Source organism: Homo sapiens, chromosome 1 (assembly GCF_000001405.40).
Source record: "Homo sapiens chromosome 1, GRCh38.p14 Primary Assembly".
NCBI lineage: Eukaryota > Metazoa > Chordata > Mammalia > Primates > Hominidae > Homo > Homo sapiens.
In genome coordinates, this window is record NC_000001.11 from 8,461,772 (window position 1) to 8,478,772 (window position 17,001).

General features: G+C 42.6%; 1 protein-coding gene across 2 annotated transcripts in view; it reads right to left on the reverse strand.

Annotated features, from left to right (window-relative positions):
- RERE (arginine-glutamic acid dipeptide repeats) overlaps positions 1-17,001 on the reverse strand; it is a 465,237-nt gene that overhangs the window by 109,368 nt on the left and 338,868 nt on the right. For both annotated transcript variants that reach the window (NM_001042681.2, NM_012102.4), the window contains one exon: positions 4,154-4,252. In NM_001042681.2, the coding sequence (NP_001036146.1) occupies positions 4,154-4,252 (99 nt within the window). The remainder of the gene's footprint in view (positions 1-4,153; positions 4,253-17,001) is intronic.

Consider the following 17,001-nt stretch of genomic DNA (forward strand, 5'->3'; position numbering starts at 1 on the left):
AAGAGGAGAAGGAGGAGTAGGAAGAACAAGAAGAAAGAGTTTAATGTGTGAGCTTTTTCCAAAAGTACTTTTATTATTATTATTTTTTTTGGAGACAGAGTCTTGCTCTGTTGCCCAGGCTGGAGTGCAGTGCCATGATCACGGCTCACTGCAGCCTCTAACCCCTGGACTCAAGCGATTCTCCAACCTCAGCCTCCCAAGTAACTGGGACTACAGGCACATGGCACCATGTTCAGCTATTTTATTATGTTTTTAATTTTTTTGTGGAGACAAGGTCTTGCTGTGTTGACCAGGCTCCAAAAGTAAAATTTTTAAGGTTGGTTTCTGAGGCATGTAAAAGTTTTTCTCTTTAATGTGCTGATTCATAACTATTAACTATTAAAAGTTTTAAAATGCTGGATTGAAGACACTCAATTATAGTGAAGAACTTTTTAAAAGGATTACCTTGAACAAAGAGTCATCAATATTCTTCAAGCCTCTCATATGGAGAGAAACTATCTTCATCATTAAGTCCTTACCCTTAATAAGTTTACAAACTCGGAGGACAATCAACTCAGAAATAAGACCGCAAGGAATGAAGAGCTGGGGATCAGAAGTCAGCACGAGGAGGCAGAGGATGAACTGCCAAGCGAGTGACGCGCAGAGGGGAGACAGTGCGAAGAGGGAGCACTGGCCGCGGGATGGGCCAGGAACCGAGCTGAGACTGGAGAACGAGTAGGGTCTGCACTGGCATGAGAGGTTAGTTTCTTCATAGAGCAGCAGGCCTGCCAGGCCCAGGAGGTGCAGAGGCCCAGCCTGTCCGCTGCACAGCAGGGAACTCACACCTTCAGGTGCTTATTTCACCAACCCTCTCACAGAGCAGCTGCTTCAAAGTATTCATGTAAAAATGCCAAGGGAAACCCGTTCATCAAGACTGTTGTAGTCAGATCAGACACTGGGTAGTTAGAACAAATTAATATGCCAGCGGCAGCGAAGTTTAGTAATAAGTAGCCAGGCATTGTGGCTTGCCTGTAGTCCCAGCTGCTCAGAGGCTGATGTGGGAGGATCACTTGAGCCCAACAGTTTGAGTCCAGCCTGGACAACATAGCAAGACCCCCATCTCTTAAAAAATAGTAATGATAATAATAAAAATAATAATTAGAATGTTCCAAGTATATAGAAAACTGGGAGGAAAAAAGGGGGAGGTAGGCCCATGTATTTATGTTAGCTGGAACACATTTGTTTTGCTTATTCCTGTGATTCCTGAGGTGAGAAAATGTGGTAAATTTAACAGAAGGGGGCCACATGAACACAGCAGGTGTTTTTTCACAGCCAAAGCCAGGCGAGGGTAAAGAGGGGACTGCCTTGTTGCCACATAAATCTCTTCAAAGATTTGATTTGGATCCATTCACCAGAAGCTTCCTTCAACCTCTCAATTATTCAGTCAGTCTCTCTTCTTCACTGCTGAGGTTTTCAAAGTGAAGCTTCACTTCCTACACATAAGGGAACCATTTGATCCTGAGGCTCTACAAGGGCTGGATGGCTGCCAAGACATTTTTCAAACCAAGAAGCAAACATGATAAAAATGACCCCAAACGGATACGGATGTATACAGTTAAGGATCATTATTCCATACTCAAAATATTCACCACTTTGGAGTCCTGTTTTGTTTTTCAAAATAAACCAGGCTCTTTCTGATGTGCAAAACTTCCCTCTCAGCTCACAGCGACAAATCCTCAAGCAGCAGCAATGGGGAGACAATCAACAGCTGCCTGATGTTACAAGCAGGCGCTGCAGGAAAAGGAAAGCAGCTTTCTCTTCAGCAGGAAGAGAGGACTTTGGCTGTGTATTTTTAAAATTCCAGAGGGAATGAAAGGTCACAAGAGAAATGAAAGAAGGGAGAGAGGAGAGCCATGGCTAGCGAGGGGCTGGGAGGCATGAGTGAGGAGTGGGGAGGGTGGGAGACACCAAGAAGAGGCAGGGAAGTGGGGAAGGAGAGAGGACGCCAAAGGGCATGGAGACTGAAGAGAGAGGAGATGGCCAGGAACTGAGGGAAATGCAGAAGCAGAAGCAGCCATGGATTGCAAGCTGACAAGGCCCTGAGGCCGCCTAGGCCAGGCTGAGAGGACTGAAGACAATCTCACAAAGGGTGGTTAAACGACCACAGTCTATACACTTGTTCCATCCTTTTCATCTCCTTATGTGTTTCTTCCACACAGGCTTTTCGCAGAATTTTAAAACCTTGTCAATCAGATCTCTTATCCACTCCTCACATAAACAGGCTTACAGTAAAAAAACAGTATCACTACGACTTCTCAAAACTGAATTTAACGTTGTCTAAACATTTTAAAATGTTTAAGATGTTTCTTTCTCTTTAATAATAACGTTAAGATTTTTATGGTTTTGTTTGTTTTAAAACAGCTTCATGAACTCTGTAAGTCTGATAAAGTTAAAGTCTTAAGGAACTATTCAACAAGCACTCCATTACCAAACCCTAGGGCCATTTCAGTGCATCTCAGCTCCGCCTAGCTTTTCCCATTCCTCAGCCCTTGCCCACCCTCACCCACAGCCATTCTAGGAGCAAATTCTCTTTTCTCTACCTTCAAGGTGCAGCCTGGATCTCGCTGCTTCTTATCACGACCACTGCTGCCACACCACCCAGCCACCAGTCCCAGCCTGGTGTGCAGCAACCCCCAGAGACCACCGGACTCAGCGGCCAGTGTGAGCCCCACTGTCGGAGCAAGTCACTCCTCTGTTCAGAAGCTGCTCATGTGGGGCACATCACCATGCCCTGACAGCAGGCCAACAGGTCACACCTGATCTGCTCCCTCTAGGGCACCCCTCCCACCACTCCCCTCCTTGCTGTGTTGCAGAAACATTCCTGCCTACTTCTTGAACATGCCAAGCATGCTTTCACCTTAGGGCCCAGAATTCTCTAATATCCAAAAGGCTGCCTTCCTCACCTTACTAAGGTCTCATCTAAATGTTACTTACCAGGACTTTCCTGATCCTCCCTTAGCTAAGACAGTACCCCACCCAGCTGATTCTCCCTCATTACCCTATTCTGTATCTGCTTCACCACCCCCGGCACATACTCATTTATGAAGGTCTCCCCTCTTAAAACTTAAGACTCCCAAGGAGGGACAACACCTGGCACGCAAGCAGGCACTCAGTAAATATTGCTGAATCAATGAAAGAGCGGGATCAGGAAAGCACATACAATTTCTAAACATTCTTTCTTAGCATATTTTAAAATACAGGAGAGGAACTTGCAATCAATAGGTGTATTAGTGCCAGCCTTCATTTAAATTTCATTCGACCTGAAAGGCAAATGTCAAGCGGTAACATTCATACTGAAGACTGTATTTGCAAAAGCACAAGAAATCCGTAAGTCGTTTACAGCAATGCCTTTTACAAGTCACAAGATGGAGATGTAGCTTCATTAAAACTGTCTGCTGGATGGGAATCCATGGGTTTGCAAGGCTGTATCTGTGGGCACATTTCTCTCCCCCCACTTCCTTCAACAGGCCACAGCAATACAATCAGTATGTAAAATCCAGCATATTTATTTCATCAACTCTCTGCTTCCCGCTTGTAATCAATGTCCTTTAAGGAGGTCAGGGGTCTTACAAGCCCTATAAAAACAAGTCACCAAGCCAAGCATGGTAGAGCATGCCTACAGTCCCAGCTACTTAAGAAGCTGGGGCAAGAGGACTGATGGAGCCCAGGAGTTCAAAACCAGCCTGAGCAACACGGCAAAACCCCCTTCTCTAAAATAATTATGATTAAAAAAAAGACAAGTCACCAACCCTACTTTAGGTTATATGTCCACGGGTTTTAACATGCTGTCTTTAAATAGGGAGGTATCACAAGCTAGCTTGCACCAAAAACAAGTTCAAATTAACTTTTTTTAGGAGTAACTATCAATTTCTCCTTTCTTTCCATGAAAGTTGGACAATCTTTCCCGACATCTATGAAGCCTAATCTTAATAAAATCAAGTCTTTCTGTACAATTAAGGGGCTGAAGGGCCCCATCCTCCTGCCTGGCGCTGCCACGGACAGCCATTCTGCATGACTGAAGCTTCTGCTTTCCCTGAGCAGCAGGGAGGTCACACACTGAGACGCCGGTGGCCCGATGCCCCAGAGCACAAGGCAAATGCTGGTTCCTGCTCACCACTTCGTCCTCGGTCCAGCACTTCTCGATGAGCTTGGGCACAGGCTTCTTCACCAGGCGCTGCAGGGCTTTGCCAGCATCGTAACCGCTTTCATGCAGCTAAAACAACAACAATTATAGTTAGCTAACTGCACCAAATAACAGACAGGACACAATCGATCCAAGGCAAGCTCCTCATTGACTATCTCCCACAGAAGAGTCAGGAAAGGGGCACTGAGACTCCATCATTTCAGTAGGCGCAGGAATTTGTTCTCATCCAAGACCACCCTATCCCAACCCCTATTCTACTCACTCTGGGAGAGGGAGGCAGGCAAGGCAGAAAATATTTTGGCAAAGATAGGAATAGGATTCCCCTATATTCCCATAAAGCAAACATTTAGGGAATGTTTGGCCCCGCCCAGTGCTCAGGACATTCCATGCAATCATTATCTTACTTAATCCTATGGGGAAAGTATTCTCTCATTTAATCTACGGTTTAGGAGCTATCATCGCCCTACTTCACAGATGAGGAAACTGAGGCACAGAAAGATCAAGTAAAGATGTTCACCACACTGAGCCAGCAGGTGGTGAAGCCAAGACTCCAACCCAGCCAGGAGGACCCCTACTCTTGCCTCATTCTCCGCAAAGCAGCGTAAAGTCACACTAGATTATGTTCTTTCTTTTTAGCATTTCTTAAGTTTTTTGACTGTGCTAATTTCACACAAAAACAAAATATTTAAAGTGGCTAAAATTTAAGAGCTTTTTAAAGAAAGTAAGTCTGTAATAGTATGCTAGTTTTTCAGTACATATGAATAAAGATGCAGGTTTATCTACATATTCCCTTTAGGACCAGACTTGTTTCTTGTCAAAGCTAATCAACTTTTCTCACCCTGCGTCTTTTCAACCCTGTGTAGTGTCTGGCACCATGGACACCTTCCCACCTCGCAAAGATGCTCCAGACACTCCAAGTTTCTGAGTTCCAACTTGCAGATAATGTAGAGAAACAGCAGGTACAAAGATCCTCCTGCTCTATCTACCTCCCCATACTGTGGCTGTCACTCAGAATTCTCATTGGAAATCCACCTTTCCTGTACACATCTAGTCTTCTTACACAAAGATTGGCTTTGTCTAAGACTTGCATCTCCAGTGCTGAACACAGTCCATAGTATAAGGTAATACTCCAGAAAAACTTGCTAACTTCCTAAATAAAATACTAGGTTCTGGGACACAGCAGTAAACAACACAGAGATCCCCGTTCTCATGGAGTGGACGTTCTGATCTTTTCACTCGTGCTTCAATCTCTTATTTTAACAATGAGCCAGCATTTGCCGAACATTCAGGTCAAGTAAAGCTGAACATTCAAGACATGTAAAGAATAAACCTTAATAAGTCACAGTCCTTATTTCCAGGAAACTTACAAATTGGTACAGATACAAAACATACAAAATGACAAGATCAAGTAGGTTGTAATAATTACTCTTGCTTAGGTTTAGGCAAAGACCTATGGAATCACAAGAGGAGACAGCCATGTGTTTCCTCTTTCTAACAGAAGACTCCGGAGGACATGCAGATGCCTTCCTGGCAACTGCTGGAGCCCCTGGGCTGGGCACACAGTAAGCTGGCAGTGGTAAATATTTGTTGAATGAAATCAATAAATAAATGCTGAAACACACACTGCAAGTCTCTCTTCCAAACATTTAACTGCCAACAAAAGGAATATCACAAACATTCATTTTCTTTTATTTTTTTCTTTTTTTTTGAGACGGAGTCTTGCTCTGTTGCCCAGGCTGGAGTGCAGTGGCGCGATCACGGCTCACTGCAAACTCTGCCTCCCGGGTTCACGCCATTCTCCTGCCTCAGCTTCCTGAGTAGCTGGGATTACAGGCGCCTGCCACCACGCCCGGCTTATTTTTTGTATTTTTAATAGAGATGGGGTTTCATCGTGTTAACCAGAATGGTCTCGATCTCTTGACCTCGTGATCCACCCGCCTCGGCCTCCCAAAGTATTGGGATAACAGGCATGAGCCACCGCACCCGGCCCAAACATCCATTTTCAATGCTCACTCAGCAAAACAGAAAGTATTAAAAATTTGAATTTCCAGAGCATTCTCACAGTTTAGAGGGCACTAATTTATTTTAAATCAAGACTGGGAAGTCCAGGTTGTACATTAGCTATAAGAATAAATCAACTATCTTAAAACAAAACAAAACACCTACAACAATGATCAATACTGGATCCCACTTGGGAGTGGTGGTGCAATGAATAAATATTAACTTATTTATTTTTATTATTATTTATCAATAAATTCGTATTTATTATTACCATTAGACTCTTTTAAAAATAAAATACTATTATGATTTGCAAATGTTTGAAAACTATCCAACCTAGGCTTCTTTCAGACGTATAAAAAGATCTGAAATAAAGTCAGATTCTCATACTTTGCCTAATATCCAGAACAAGCAGACATTTGTCAAGTTCTATAACACAATGGGGGTTTATAATCACAGGTCAACGTGGATTGGAACTGAATAAAAGGAAGAATTACATGCCTATTTAATGCAAAAAGCACACATTTTAGTGATAATTTGAAATCAAATGAAGTTGATCAAATCATAAATTTTTAATGAAAAGCTCATGGCAAAATTAACAACTTTTATAAGAGGTAATTATACTGTATGGGGTAATTATAAGAAAAGTATGAGGCTAGGCACAGTGGCTCACACCTGTAAGCCCAACACTTTGGGAGGCTGAGGTAGGAAGATTGAGTTCAGGAATTCAAGACTAACCTGGGCAACATAGTGAGACCTCATCTCTACTAAAAATTTAAGAAATTAGCTGGGCGTGGTGGCATGTGCCTATAGTCCCAGCTGCAGTCCCAGCTACTCAGGAGGCTGAGGTGAAAGGACGGCTTGAGCCTGGGAGGTTAAGGCTGCAGTAGTCTTGATCACACCACTGCACTACAAGTCCGGGTGACAGAGTGAAACCCTGCCTCCAATAAAAAAAAAAAGAAAGAAAGAAAAAAAGAAAAAAGGGTAAGTAGGAAAAACTATGGACTTTGGAGTCAAACTGCCTGGATTCCAACTCTAGCTCTACTATTTACTAGGTATGCGACCTTGAGAGAGTTACTTATCATTTTTGTGCCTTAATTTTGACATCTTTAAAAATGGATAAAATAATAACATCAACCTCTTAGCGACATGTGAGGATAATATTAGAAAATATATGTTAGCTACATCTTTTAAAAAGAAAAAAAAAATCGGCCTCAAGTGTGATCAGCTTTCCAGATTACAGAGTAGTCTTCTCAGAAACAAAAAATTTTGTTAAGCTATAAACAAAAACCACTTATGTGTCATATAAAATTACCCATGTTAAATGAGATTTGATTAAAACTCTGGTCTCACATACAGGAAAAAATTTGAATTTCAAAATCTTGGCTGGGCGCGGTGGCTCACGCCTGTAATCCCAGCACTCTGGGAGGCTGAGGTTGGTGGATCATGAAGTCAGGTGTTCAAGACCAGCCTGGCCAACAGGGTGAAACCGCATCCCTACTAAAAAACTATAAAAATTAGGCAGGCACAGTGGCAGGGGCCTATAATCCCAGCTATTCGGGAGGCTGAGGCAGGCAGGAGAATCGCTTGAACCCAGGCGGCAGAGGTTGCAGTGAGCTGAGATCGTGCCACTGCACTCCAGCCTGAGAGACAGAGTGAGACCCCGTCTCAAAAAAATAATAATAGTAATAAGAAAAATAAAATCTTATGTGCCTGCTACCAGGAAATTGCTCGTGAGAACATAAAGCCCACTCCAAAAGCAAACTGCTGAGTGGATGAAGCTCAATCAAATATCATTAATCCCTGTGGCATTCCGGCCTTTTGGTGAACCAAGAAGAGTTTTAAACTATAGCTGGAAGAGATGCTTCCACTGAAGTGTTGAACATCTCGTTGTGGTTGTTCCGTTTGTTAGAGAGCATGGCTGCAGCCTGCACAATGCCCCTCAGCTGAATTTCTAGTGATGAGCTTAATGGGGAAAGAGGCACTCCTCTGAACAAGTCCTGGCATTCCTACTTCCTTCACAAAACTTTATTTCAGATGGCAGTTTCTCCTGAAGAAGCTATTCCAGTGACACGGTAACTCGAGCTTCCTTCCCTACTCTGTTCTCTATATAATGGCGGATTCTCTCCTTTTGTTTGACCTGTTGTCTGGCTGGCCTCTTAAAATATCCCTATTCCTCAAAAAAATAGTCCCTATTCCTGAGTTTCCCATGTTATCAGTAAGTATTGAGAGTCCCTACCCGTCCTCACCCCTACACAAAGACACATCTGAGAAGTAAAAAGTGTGGGATTATTTACCCAAAGTGACAAATTTTTTTCTTTCTTTTTGGAGATGGAGTCTCACTCTGTTGCCCAGGCTGGAGTGCAGTGGCGTGATCTCGACTCACTGCAACCTCCGCCTCCCAGTTCAAGCGATTCTCCTGCCTCAACCTCCTGAGTAGCTGGGACTACAAGCGCCCACCACCACGCCCGGCTAATTTTTTGTATTTTTAGTAGAGATGGGGTTTCGCCAAGTTGGCCAGGCTGGTCTTGAACTGACCTCAGGTGATCCACCCACCTCCAAAGTGCTGGGATTACAGGCATGAGTCACCACGCCCAGCCCCAAAGAGATATTTCTTGAATGGATGAAGGAAGAATATTATTGCGCTATCATCAGTGTTTCACAGGGGCAAGTTCAAAACTTGGTCAACTGGCTGTTCTGGTGTGCCCTCCTCCTTAGGAAACCTAAGGGACTCTTTCCTCCTTAGGGAACCAAGGGGACTCTTTCTAAAGGGGCACTATCTTCTTAATGTTATAGACATTGACTTCTACCTTGTAGAAATCTTGTCTGAGAAAATTCTGAGACATCTTTAAAGAAATACCTTTTTTTTTTTTTTTTTTTTTTTTGAGACAGAGTCTCGCTCTGTCACCAGGCTGGAGTGCAGTGGCACAATTTCAGCTCACTGAAACCTCCACCTCCCAGGTTCAAGCGATTCTCCTGCCTCAGCCTCCCGAGTACCTGGGACTACAGGCGCGCCACCACACCCAGCTAATTTTTGTATTTTTAGTAGAGATGGGGTTTCACCATGCTGGCCAGGATGGTCTCAATCTCTTGACCTCATGATCCCCCCCTGCCTCAGCCTCCCAAAGTGTTGGGATTACAGGTGTCAGCCACAGCGCCCAGCCTTTTTATTAAAGATACACTTTTAACATACTAGAAGTTGTTATGGACTACAACAGCTTCATAATAGGGAAACTTACCTTTACAACATTTGGGGAAAATTACTGGCGATCAGGACATCTTTCTTTCCTTCGACACATTTACTGAGTGCTCAACTATGCCAGGCACTCTATTAGGTGCTGGGATATATCAAATAGCCCTTCTTTTTTTCTCTCTTTGAGACAGGGTGTTGGCTCTGTCTCCCACACTGGAGTGCAGTGGCACGATCATGGCTCACTGCAGCCTCAATCTCCTGGGCTCAAGCAGTCCTCCCACTTCAGCCGCCCAAGTACTAGGACAGCTGTGCACCATGCCTAACTTTTGTATTTTGGTAGAAATAGGGTTTTGCCATGCTGCCCGGGGTTGCTTTTTTTTTTTTTTTTGAGAAAGAGTTTCACTCTGTTGCCTGAGCTAGAGTGCAATGGCACAATCAGCCCACTTCCGCCTGAATTCCTGGGCTCAAGCAATCCTCCTGCCGCAGCCTCCCAAGTAGCTCAGCTTACAGGCATGCGCCACCATGCCTGGCTAATTTTTTTTATTTTTTGTAGAGACAGGAACTCACTATGCTGCCTAGTGCGGTCTCAGACTCCTGGGTTCAAGTGCTCTTCCTGTCTAGACCTCCTGAAGTGCTGGGATTATAGGCATGAGCCACTGCACCTGCCCCAAATAACCCTTCTTAAGACAGAGTCTCACTCTTGTTGCCCAGGCTGGAGTGCAATGGCATGATCTCGGCTCATTACAACCTCTGCCTCCCGGATTCATGTGATTCTTCTGCCTCAGCATCCAGAGTAGCTGGGACTACAGGCGCACGTCACCACGCCCGGCTAATTTTTGTATTTTTAGTAGAGATGAGGTTTTGCCATGTTGGCCAGGCTGGTCTTGAACTCCTGACCTCAGGTGATCTGCCCACCTCGGCTTCCCAAAGTGTTGGGATTACAGGCATGAGTCACTGCACCCAGCCAAAGTTTTTCTTTCTTTAGATGAGGATAATGTTCAATAAAGAGCTAAACTGGATATTTCAACTATATTCCTTACATAAAGTAGAATTGGTAAATTTATCAAAACACTGGCTATCTTAAATCTCTAAAAATTGCCATTAGAAACATTCCCCTCTAATACAACATCAAGTTCTGAAGGATTGCCATAATTTCATACTGTGAAAAACATTACGTAGATTTCAAATTCTAAACACCTGATCACGACCACACAGCTACGTCTATAGTCAGGAAATTTAACACAGGCTTCCCCATATTGCTAAGGTAAAATGTCCTTTAATGTGAATAAGATTTTCTACCGTTTTCCTAAGAAGGCTGTGCAAAATACATTGCAATGAAGATGGGGAAAAAGAAACACCTCTCAAACATCTTACAGCTTCACTTTGTAGCCACAGAAAAGCAATTAAAGCAAAATAATTAAACCTTTCTGTCCATTTTGCAGCCAAGTCAGGCTGGTAAAATCTGGGATTAAATGCAATTTTAATGTAGAGTATAGAGAACTGTACATTTTGGAGCTACTGTAAAAAGATCAGTACAAAAAGCAGGGACCAAGATAAAGCATCTTGACTCAGTGAGCTTACAATCTTTGAAAGCTAGGGAGGGGAGAAGCACTTAGATCTTATGCTGCCCCCACGCAACCACTATAGCAGGATGTCATTCAGCAGAAAGCACTTTCAGATTCATCACCACAGGTGTGTGGCAGTGGTGCTTTTTTTTTTTTTTCTAAATCCAATGATCAAGGAAACATTTACTTGTAAATCTTTCCGCCTCTTTTCCACATCACTAAACTGCATGACTGCACTTCTACCCAAATAAAACCTGTCTTCCCTAAACCACAGGTTAAGACCTAGGATTTATGATTAGGGAATCTGATAACAAAACACTGATTTCTTGAACAATCCACCAGCCTTTCAAGTCATTCCATCTCAGAACTATGCCTGTTTTGCTGTTTTCTAGCAATCGGCCTTTGGTCTCTGGGTGTGCTCCATGGAATCCTCTGAGATGTGATTTTTTCCTTCGTTTTTGGTTGTTCATTGTGAAAGAACAAATGTGAGTGAACTCTTTCCCTATGTGGTGTCTAGCCCTCTTCTGCCACACCTTCTGCAGCAGAAGTCCTTGGTGTCCTTGAACCCAGTAGGACATTCCAGCCTCAGAGGCAGGCTGCTCACACCATACTCTCTTTGCTTCCATTCATTCAACCAAGAGGTACCAAGCAACTCTGCCTGCTAGCAATGGGGAGGGATACAGTGGTGTGCAAAGACAGGCATGCATGAACTATGCAAAGTGGACCTCATCGCGGATTTTGGTGCTAAAAACAATAGTAACTTCTGAATAATAAACACTTAATTTGGCTCCACTATAACAAAAGTAACCACTGTACTGATTCATTCAGAGCCATACTGTGCCACAATAACTAGACATATTTAGCTAGTTGCCTAAAAAGCTCTCAGTAACTAACTCTGGGTGCTACAATAAATTAACAACTAGTCAATACCTTCTGCAGCCTACTGAAAATAGTACAGGATGTGAGGCAAGTGACAGATTCTTGCTAATAGCCCTGTCCCGAACCAGTTGAGTTGAGGTTTTCATCTGTTAAATGGGCCTAACACCACCAGCCCTCAGCTGGGTCACAGAAAAATGGAAAGTGCTAAATGAGACAAAATGTGTCAAGACACTCTGAAATGTAAAATAGCTGTAAGCTGTACAGTGGTATCATCATGGGGAGTAATATTTTAGATACATGGCTCTTACCTAACACTATTCAAACAAGAGGTTCAATAGAGCCAACAATGCCGGTAGTCACTACACATCTGCAATTGTCTTACTACAGCCTCTGACCTCCTCCTGATTAGCAGAAAGAAAGGATCATGCTACAAGAAAAACATTTCTGCATAATTGCCCAAGTTAAATCTGCTACTCTCACTCTGCCTGACAAATCATTCCATGCTTACTTTCTATAATTTAATATATATAAGTGCTTTACTGGCAAGCTTCTCGAAAGAATAAATAATACTTAATGACTGCCTACAGTTTAATTAACTCATGATTGAACTTCTCATGGATTGCTATAAACATTAAATTATATCCTTCCTCAAAGCTACCATGGATAAAAATCTTGTTTAAAGCTTTAATTCTCTTGCCTAAACAATTCTGAAATTCCAGCAAATCTGTATGTTGCACAGAGAGGTGAGAGAATCCACCTTAACGCATGGTTATAAAGCATGTTATTTTATAGAGCAAGGATGAGGCCTTAATTTTTATAAGATTGAAAATGTGCACATGTCCAAGCACCTCATTAATATTACAGCAGTCATTAAACATCTCTGGATCTCAGGCAGTCTTATTAGCATAAACTCTGCGTATTACCACAAGGTTTCAAGTTTCTATTCTGGCTTCTCATCTTAGCTACCATTTTCTGTCTGCGTGATGTTGCAAATAAATTTTCCTTTTGGCATGGCTCAGCTGTCAGGCACCTCTGTTCTATAATGAACCCATGAATTACATCTCCCTGCTCTGACATCTCTGGTCTCACACATCAAAATATTGTTCTTCAATTGTAATTTATAACTTAATTTAAATGTCCCTTTTCCCGTGACCTTTTTAGATCAAATGGCATTGCATCTGGCAGTTTCTACTATGCCAAAGCATACTTTTCAAATATAGCCATTATAATAACTATATAAAAAGCCTACTTAAGTTAGACTGCATTCAGGCTAATTAAATAATTCCAGTCCATGAAGAACAATATTAGATATCAAAGTCTTTTGCTATGCAAAATATCTGTTTATACATCACAAGAAACTGTCAAAATAACTGAGAAAGGAAAAAAGTATTTGGAATAAATCTTAAAATTCTTCATATAGTTTTAATTAATTATTTCGACTATTAAGATAAGTGAGAAAGACCTTGCCGAAATATGTTCAAAACAAAATTTAAAAATTTCTTAGCCACGTGCAGTGGCTTACACCTGTAATCCCAGAACTTTGGGAGGCTGAAGTGGGCAGATCTCTTGAGGTCAGGAGTTCAAGACCAGCCTGGCCAACACGGTGAAACCCTGTCTCTACCAAAAACACAAAAATTAGCCGGGTGTGGTGGCGCGCACCTGTAATCCCAGCTACTTGGGAGGCTGAGGCAGGAGAATCGCTTAAACCTGGGAGGCGGAGGTTGCAGTTAGCCGAGACCGCGCCACTGCACGCCAGCCTGGGTGACAGAGCGAGATTCTGTCTTAAAAAAAAAAAAAAAAATTCTTGGCTGGGCGTGGTGGCTCACACCTGTAATCCCAGCACTTTGAGAGACCAAGGTGGGCAGGTCACTTGAGGTCAGGAGTTTGAGACCAGCCTGGCCAACATGGTGAAACCCTGTCTCTACTAAAAAGAAATACAAAAATTAGCCGGGCATGGTAGTGTGTGCCCATAATCTCAGCTACTCAGGAGGCTGAGGCAGAAGAATCTCTTGAACCCAGGAGGCGGAAGTTGCAGTGAGCCGAGATCACGCCACTGCACTCTAGCCTGGGCGAAAAGAGTGAGACTCTGTCTCAAGAGAAAAAAAAAAAAAGAAAAGAAAAATTTCTTATAACCATAATTCACAAATGTCAATACATTTTCATTTATACCTCCATCATCGATAACCTAGTGCCAAGTCAATATATATGAAACATGTAAATGTTAAAAAACTAGAATTGAAACTAAGAGCACAATATTTATTTTTATTTGGCCATTATCATTTCAAATAATGCTATTAGGTACCAGAGAGGCTAAAATTTGTCTGAATGGTCTTACGGGAGCAAAATTCAGGGATAATGGAAAAGACAAAGAATTTAACTGCAGAGGGTAGGGCTTGAGAGAAAGGTCTAGTTAATTTTCAGAAGGAAATATAGTTATTGAACCAATCTTCCCTCCCTCTTTCCATCACTTTCTGAAACTACAATGTTCCAGGAATTATGCGCCAGCCCTGGAGTCACATGGAAGAAAGGAGGGGGTCGCAACATTTGCTGAGCAGTGCACAGTGTGCTAGGAACTGTGTTAGGTCTTTATGATTTCATCATTCCACACACCTCTCTTCCACAGCCAGAGTACTAAAAATGAGGAAATGAAATCCAGAGGTTCAGTATGTTTCTCTAGGCCACTTCCCTAGCAAGTAGCAGCATGAGGATTCTAACATAAACCCATGTTCTAGGAAGATGTCCCTACCCTAGAATGTTGCTACTGGGGCAGTTTAGGACAGGCAATCTGGTGGGAGCAATGGGTACGGGGACTTTTTCCGCTGCAGTGACAAAGCAAGCACACTGTCTTTTCTTAACTTGGGGCTAGGGGATGAGGGTGGGTGGAGGAAAGGAGGGAGCCAGCAGCTCAGAAAAGAGGAAAGACACACATGTAAACAAACTAACAAAAAAATCCCCATCCATGAAAACACTCACAGTGCTAAATGAAAGCTGATGGGGATGACATTTGCTCAGTCTGGAAAATCTAAAATGCATTCACAGGGGAGGTTTTGAAAATCAACAACCAGTATAATATGATTAACTTGCCTATGCTTTATGAACAGCAACAACCACATAAAAAACACTATTCTAGGAGAAATAAGCAGTGCTATTATTGCAGTAAAAACAGGCTACACGAGGCAGGGCGGACCTGCGTCCTTCGCTTCTTTCGCTGTCACAGAAGAGGCTGAGGTAGGTCATTTTTGGAACTTTCCAGTATTCAACATTCCTTCACTTAACAAAGATTTTTTCAAAGGCAAAATATTATAGAATATTCTTCTAAAAAGGAATAAACAAATGGTAATAATGTTAATACATTAATTTAGAAAAATAAAAAAACAATAAAACCATTGAATTAAGCCACATTCCCCACGCCAAACACTAAATGAATGGCTCCTGCACAGGCTTCACTTACACTTTAGGGATTAAGGTTGTGCCTCTTAATTTTCAAGTCTCTGTGAAAGCTGAAGTTTATGCCACAGGTCTTTAAATGCAATTATGGATAATTAATCATTTACATAGTTAACATGTCTACAGCCTGACTTCTTTTTTTATAAATGCGAGATCAGCCACAGAATAGTAGAAAGGGAGGGTGCGGAGGGTGTAGGCTGCTTGCCGGGGCAGGAGGACTCCACAGACGCAGTCAATAATCTACTAAGAAGACTCAGCTTGAGGACCCACAATGAGTCTAACTCTGGCCACAGGGAGAAAAGCTCCTGGCACATTCGTGAACCTAGACTGTTTATGCTGCTTTTCTCAATAATTATTTGTCAGCTGAGAAAGACCTATGTCTGGCCACAAGTGGAAATGGTTCAGGACCACAAATGGAAACTAAAATATGTTTTCACTTACTCCTGGCATCCTCATAGCCTTGAAAACAGAAAAAAATTTGTGACATGAAACTGGGCAGAAGGCTGGAGGATGACATAAAAACCACAGGTCTAAGCATCTCACGTAGGCACTAGTGAACCTACTCATACATGCTAAATTGACCTAGAAAGTGTATGTGAAAGGCTTTCACACAAAAACACAAAATCAAGACCAGTTACATCAGTATTAAGAAACATTTACAGTAACTGCTTTAAATCCTACTTAGTAGAATTGAGGTACAGAAATAACTGCCCCCAATCCAAGGGCTCAGCAGTCTGAATCTCAGTGCTTTGTGATGAGTGATTCTAAGGTTATGCAAACAACAGTCCACCTAATATTTTTGGCAATGATAATGAAGTTATGGAACAACGAAGACCGAAGAGGCATACACTGATGCATATAAAGCTCCAGAGTTGGGAAAATATACAAGCGACTGTACTTTCTAAAAACTTCAGCCAAGAACACAGCTTTAGTAACTAAGAAATAAGCAAAAAGCCTCTGGGCAACCAAAACAGTGTCCCCAAAAGCCAAAGGCCCTGGAGAGCCAGGAAGCTCCCACTCTGAGCTTTAGACACTTAGTTACCTCACAATTCTAGCTTTCCCAATCTAATAACAGGTCTCAAAAGAAAAAATCAGAAAGACTGTATGATTTCAAAAGAGAAGAGCAGCAGCAGACAGCCTGACTGTGGGAGACACAAAAATTTAGCAACTATTATGCAAACCAAAGAGCTCAAACTCTAACAGTTGCACATTCTTTTGTTAACGGACACCAGTAATGATCACTCAGAGGCATCGAGTAAAGGTGGACTTGACTTGAGAAGATATGAAAATGTATTCCTCCTCATTTCTAAAATGGAAGAAAAAAAGTAAAGAAAGAAGAAAAGGAGGAGAAGAGCCAGTTTTCCTAAAAATGCTGGGATAACTAGTACTCCAAAGTGCTGCAGTGGCTGGAATACACAGCCCAACAAATACCAGGTGTGGGGAGAAGGCAGGCCACTCAACAAATAGGGGAGCAGGAAGGACAGGAGTGGGGCGCCCCAGTGTCATTACCTATGAACCCCAGAAAGTTGCTGGGTAAGGGGGAAACATCCAAGATTCTGGAGGACAGGGCTGGCCAGGACAACACAGGTTGTCAGAGTCCAGTGGGGCTGGGCTCTGGGCAGGGCTGTGGAACTGAAGCTAAAACAGACACCAGAGACTTGAAAAAGCTACAGCTTCAAGGATTGCCTGAGTTTATCCCAGGCCAGCTCAAAGACCAACCTTAAAACAACACAACT